A 6,289-nucleotide genomic window follows, 5' to 3' on the forward strand; every position below is an offset into this window, starting at 1 on the left:
ATGAATTATACATTGTATGATTCCATTTATATGACATGTCCAGAATAGGCAAATCCAGGGACAGAAAGTACATCTATCACTGGTTTCATAGTGCTGGTAGGTTGAGGAGAAATGGAAAGTGACTGCTAAAGGATATAGGGTTTTTCTTTGAAATGATGAAAGTATTCTAAAATTGATTGTGGTGATGGTTGCATAACTCTGTGGATACACTGAAAACCACTGTGTTGTCACTTTAAAATGGGTAAATTGTATCGTATGTGAATTATATCTCAACAAAATTGTTATTTAAAAAGTGTTAGGAGCACCCACTCCCAGCTATAAGCCCCTCAAGGACAATGATCATACCTCGGACATAGTAGAAACTCAGGAAAACATTTATTGAAATGAAAATCACTTAAGTAGATCAGAATGCAGGCAACAGCTATTTATTACAACTCCACAGATTGCAACATCTTCTAGACCTTGGACATGCAGCTAGAATTAAGAACTACCAAAAAAATACAAAAATGGTGATATTTGTTCTGTCTTCCATTTCTCAGGTGTCAGCCAGCATCAGAATGTCCATGACTCCTCTCATTTAATTATACATGGAGAATGTTTCTCCAAACCTGCCTTTTTAGGTGAAACTAATGACTAAAATAAATTTCTCCCACTTAGATGTGTTACTCTAGAGAACTGAACTGAGAGGTAAGGAAAAGGTATAGAAATTAAAATCGGGCCAGGCGTGGTGGCTCACGCCTGTAATCCCAGCACTTTGGGAGGCCGAGGCGGGTGGATCACGAGGTCAGGAGATCAAGACCATCCTGGCTAACACAGTGAAACCCCGTCTCTACTAAAAATACAAAAAAATTAGCCAGGCGTGGTGGCGGGCGCCTGTGGTCCCAGCTGCTCGGGAGGCTGAGGCAGGAGAATGGCGTGAACCCAGGAGGAGGAGCTTGCAGTGAGCAGCGATCCCGCCACTGCACTCCAGCCTGGGCGACCGAGCGAGACTCCATCTCAAAAAAAAAAAAAAAAGAAACTAAAATTGGACATTTTTGTTTGTTTATTAACTGGTTGGTTGGTGTTTGGTTTGGCTTAAATTGGTTTGACTTGGCTTGGTTTTTGGAGGCAACAAAAACCATAAGGGAAGATTTTAACTTTATAAGAATGTAGTTCACCCTTCCAAATACTGATCAGCCCAGACAGTTTTGGTTTGGTTGATTTCTTTGCAGGTTGTGCTCTTTTGGTTCTGCTTGGCCTGGCCTGGCCTGGCCTGGCTTAACTTTGCTTTACTTTGTGCGCATTTACCTTTGTTATCCAGAAGTTTTATCAAGCCAGGCATTAGAATACTGAGTCCAGTCGTTATAGGAAAACAAACTAAGACCAAATTTAGCCATTCTGTTAACAACTGATGGGTAAGACCTGAGAGGAAAGATGACTACTCCCAGACATTCAAGGCATCATTTTAAGAAAATACCGAAGATCAAAAAATTACTAAAATAATATGGAAGTAAATCTAACCCCCTACACCCCCATATCAGTTCATGTCACTCTTGGCATTCTTTTATTTCACCAGAAAATTTGGGAATGTAAACAAGCTCAGGATAGTCTAAACGGGAAGGGCCTTATTATAGCCTCCAACCCTGGACCCCAGAATAGAGATATGGGAAGAAACAAGGTTGAAAGTGATCATTTTCATCACACTTTATCCCTTGGCAGAATTATGCAGATTTATTCTCCTTGCTACCATTCAGCACTAGTGGATATTTTCCCTTTAGGTTGTCATCTGTTCCTAGAGAAATGTGGCTAACAGAACATCAAGCCTTCCACATGTCAACCGTATAGGTAGAATGCTTTAGAACTCACTGCCAGTTTTATCATTTAGATCTCCAGGAACACAGTGGAAAGTATCAAACAGTAAAAGATGAGAGACTGAAAACAAGTGTCTGTGCAACCTAGCAGGAAGCATATGCTTCAAGAGGAAGATCATAAATGTGGCGAATTACATCCTATGTGTCTACATACTGAATCCAAACAGATTCCTTCTATACAACAGAAATATGTTTTATCTTTTCCCAGGAAGATGCAACATTGTGAAGGTGTGAATATACATTGTTTTAAATTTCATCTTGCAAATGTATATTTAAGCCCATGAAAAAAAAATGTCAATTTATTGAGTTCTAACCCTAGGTCTCCATTGTTTCACTGTTGTAAAGCATACCAGGAATCTCTGCCATGCAAAATAACAGCAGTAATGCAAAAATTTGCTTTTATTAGGTGCCTTGACAAGCCCTCTAAGGCTGCATACTGTTTAGAAGAGTAATAGCAACAACAATAATAATAATAGCAAATACTTATTAATGTGTACTCTATGTCAGGCACTACACCAAGTTCTATGAACACATTAGCTTATTTAATTCTTACAATAACCCTATTTAATAAATTATTGTACCCATTTCATGCTAAAGAACTATATCAAAGAGACAGTGAGTGACTTGTCCAACTCATTTTTGTACCTTTAACCATTACACAATACTATCTCAAAGTCGAAGGAAGTATATACAAGTGTCTAGGACTTGGATTAATAATGGTATCTTTGGAGTTTAAATACTTTAATTCTAAAACAACTCAATAACGCATAAAATATGCCTTTAAGAATGTAGAATAGATGTTACATTCATAAAAGTAATATTTTATAAGTATTACTTGTAAAGTGCTTAACAAAGTGCCTGATACAATTGAAAAATTCAATAAATGGTAGATAATAACCTCTGTTTTACAGATGAAGAAATGTAACAAGGGTCAAATAATTTACCCAAAATTGCTAGTTAGCAAGTGGCAGAAGCTAGATTGAATGAAAAGTCCATACTGAAGTTTCAATAAGAAATAAGCAAGTTTAAAATGTGTATATTTAGCTTACAAAATCTTTCATTCAATATAAATCTGTTAAACAAATGAAGTGAAATATATATCAAATATTTGTAATTTCCCATCAATCAAAACTCAGAGTTCATCTGAAAATGAGGTGAAAGTGTGACATATTATATAAAATGTTCATTGAATGAATACATTACCAATCAATTTTTGCACTAAAAATCAAAGTTGGCGATGCACACTTATTTCTTTACCTCACCCCACCCCCCACCCAACACACACATAAATATCATGGACTAACATGAACAAATAAATGATCAGGAAATTCCTAATGATTTGTGGTATCAGCATCCGTGGAAACCGGAAAAGGAGATGATGCATCCACACATCAATAAGATTAATGAGTGCTATCAGATTGCTCTTGCATCCTCTTTTTCAAATTTCTTTCAGCTTGTACATCTAGAGTATCTTCTGCTCTGTATAAATGGCCTTTGTTTCATAAAATCCATGAGATTTTTACAACTTGAAATAACTTCTGAATCCTGTGTGAATCCTATGCCCCCTTGATGTCTATAGATTGGATCACCACAATAATGGCAGTAGGTGTCAGTAGCACCAGGGCTCCAAGCATCTGGAGGTTTCCAGATGCCACACATGTAGCAAATCACTGTTCAGTTATTACAATGAGATGATGTTTTAAATGCATAGTTGTTTAAAAGTTTCCTTGAGAACTAATTCCCTTATTTAAATACTTTAGTATTTAGAGTTCCAAATAAACGATCTTCTACCAAATTAGTTACATTTTAAATAATAGAAACTCAGATAGTGCCCCAAGTAGCCTTCCAGCATGTTCACAGAAGACAGTCACCATTTTCAAACTATCATGTTGGAGAAAGAGAACTGTATTTAAAACAAAAAGGTCCTGGACTTGAGTTCAAGGGTCATGAACAGTTTATTTAAGCTCGCTCAGTCTCAGTTTTTTATCTGTCAAAATAATCATTTACAGGGTTAGTGAAATAATTATATGAGATAACATGATCTATAAGCTATAATGTTCTTTCTAGATATTTATTGTTGTTATTGACAAGATACATTGATCCAGGAAGTCTTCCTTGAGTCTTCAAGACTGGATTAGGTCTTCCTACATGTTCCTGTATCACCCTGTGCTTATTTTATATAGAAGATCCATTGTAACCCAACCTGCATCCCCTTTGCAGCTTCAGTTTCCATACACAGCCCCTGCAACTCTCTGTCTAGAGCTCTCTTTGTCCACAGGAAATGTTGATTAGCTCAAACACAGGAAAGGTTGAGAATTGCCAGGTGGTTATCCCAGGAGTAGCCCTCACCCAGTGACTGACTAAAGGTGGTAGATAAATATATTAGCTCCCTCCCTACTGAAAAAACTCTGAGTGTATTCTTCAGTTTCCAGGAGGAAATCAGGATTCAACCCCAGTTGATTTGAATGGAGATCTGCCCTTAATATGGGTGAGCACTATACAACTGGCTGGGGCCCCAAGATTGAACAAAAAGGCAAAGGAAAGGTGAATTTTCTCTCTTTCCAGGAACAACTTCTGCTGGAAGTAGTTCCAGCAGAACTTCTTCTCCTGCCCTTGAACATCAGAACTTCAGTAATGATCTCTCCCAGTGGTAATAAGGTGTTCACAGGTGTTAAATCAGGAGAGGCCTCACAAAGATGCAGTCATTAGAGGACTTCAGGGTATGGTTGCTGATAATAGATATGTATATCCCAGATCTGGATATGCATGGTTAAAATATTCTGTAAGCCTCAGAAAATTAGGAAGCCAGTTAAAGCCACAGTTCCCCTTTGACAGCAGTGATGGATGAGCTGCCAGACGACTGTGAGAGTGCCAAAGAGAGATCATAGTATCAAGCATCAAAAGTTATTAGCAAGCATCAATGTGCATTATCTCCTTTCATTTTAGGGCTAGATGTATCAAAATATGCTATGTTGGCAAACGTGGTGTTTTTAATATATATCATCTGTCTACCTTTCTATAATACTTGGCAGAGAAGGCTATTTTTCATAGTGAGTGAAATTATAGGTTGGGAACTAGACCAATAAATGTAAATGCCAATTTTCCTTCTTACTAAAGCAAGTCATTCAGTCTATTTCTTTTCCTATCTGTAAAATGAGGTTTATATTCCTTCAGTAGATGTTGAAATAATTAAACTATACATATGTGTATATATGTATATACATGTATATATATATATATGTCTGTAGTTTACAATTAAAATATATATATATATAATGTTTGCATGTGTACACAGTGTTTAGTAGAATACCTAATAGTTCTAAGTGTACTGAAAACATATGTGGTGGTTTTGGCACAGTTTCAACTCAGTGGAACTAGAATTTTGCCTCCCAGAATTCCCTCCTGTGTATGGTTCTAAGCTAGGATTGGCCACAAGAGAAATTCTCACGAGATTTGGAAGATGGGAGTGAAGCAGCAGCCATTGCCCTTGCAGGCGCTGTGGCAGCCCACACACATCATCACTGACCTCTGCCCCATTTGGCTGGCGTGGAGAAGTGCGTAGATCTGGAGCTCCTCCGGCTCCCACTATATCTCCTCCTTTAGCTTCTCCAGGACCTGGGCCAGATGCATGTGCAGCTCCACAGTGAAGGGTGTCAACTTCTCCTACAGTCACCCACATTGTCAAAATTGGTGGTGGGTGAGAAACAGTCGTGGGTTCTAGTTCATCTTTATGAATTCCCATTTGTCCTTGCTGTCATTCACATCCAGCCTTTCTTCCTGATCATAGGTCTAGCTGAACCATAGCAACATACAGATAAAGATCAGATGCAAAACAACAGCCTGCATAGCCTGTCCCACCAGCTCCCACAATTACTTAAGGTCTAACCCCAAGATAGATTTCTTATTCTATGTCAAGAGCTGACTGATACAACATGGTAGCTTTGTGACAAGATGTGAAAATGAAATTATTTCAGATTCAGTTGTACCTAAGTGGTGCCATACACAAACCTTAAGAGAATAAATAATGTGAGGTATCCTGAGATAAATGACAGCAAAAATGATTGTCATTCTTCTGTTTATAATCTTTCAGACCTTTCCCCCTGCACCCGAGATAAAGTTTAAACTTGTTTACATAGCACAGAAGAACCTTCATGGTCAAAGTCCACTCTCCAGCCAAACCGGAGCCTCCTTCAATTACTCAACTCTTTTTCTCTCTTCTCCTCCCTCCCTCCCCCTCTTTCTCCCTCCCTCACTTCCTCCTTTCAAACCTTCTCATAAGCTCTCTCGTCTATAATACCCCACTCTCCTACTCACCCCAAACACATACACACTCCTTTCACCTGACTAGCTTTGCTGATTCCTCATATCTCAGCTTATACCTTACTTCTTTTAGAATATCTAACCATACTTTAAGAATCCGGTTTGGAAGTTGTTCCCTA

Source organism: Homo sapiens, chromosome 3 (genome assembly GCF_000001405.40).
Source record: "Homo sapiens chromosome 3, GRCh38.p14 Primary Assembly".
Classification (NCBI taxonomy): Eukaryota; Metazoa; Chordata; class Mammalia; order Primates; family Hominidae; genus Homo; species Homo sapiens.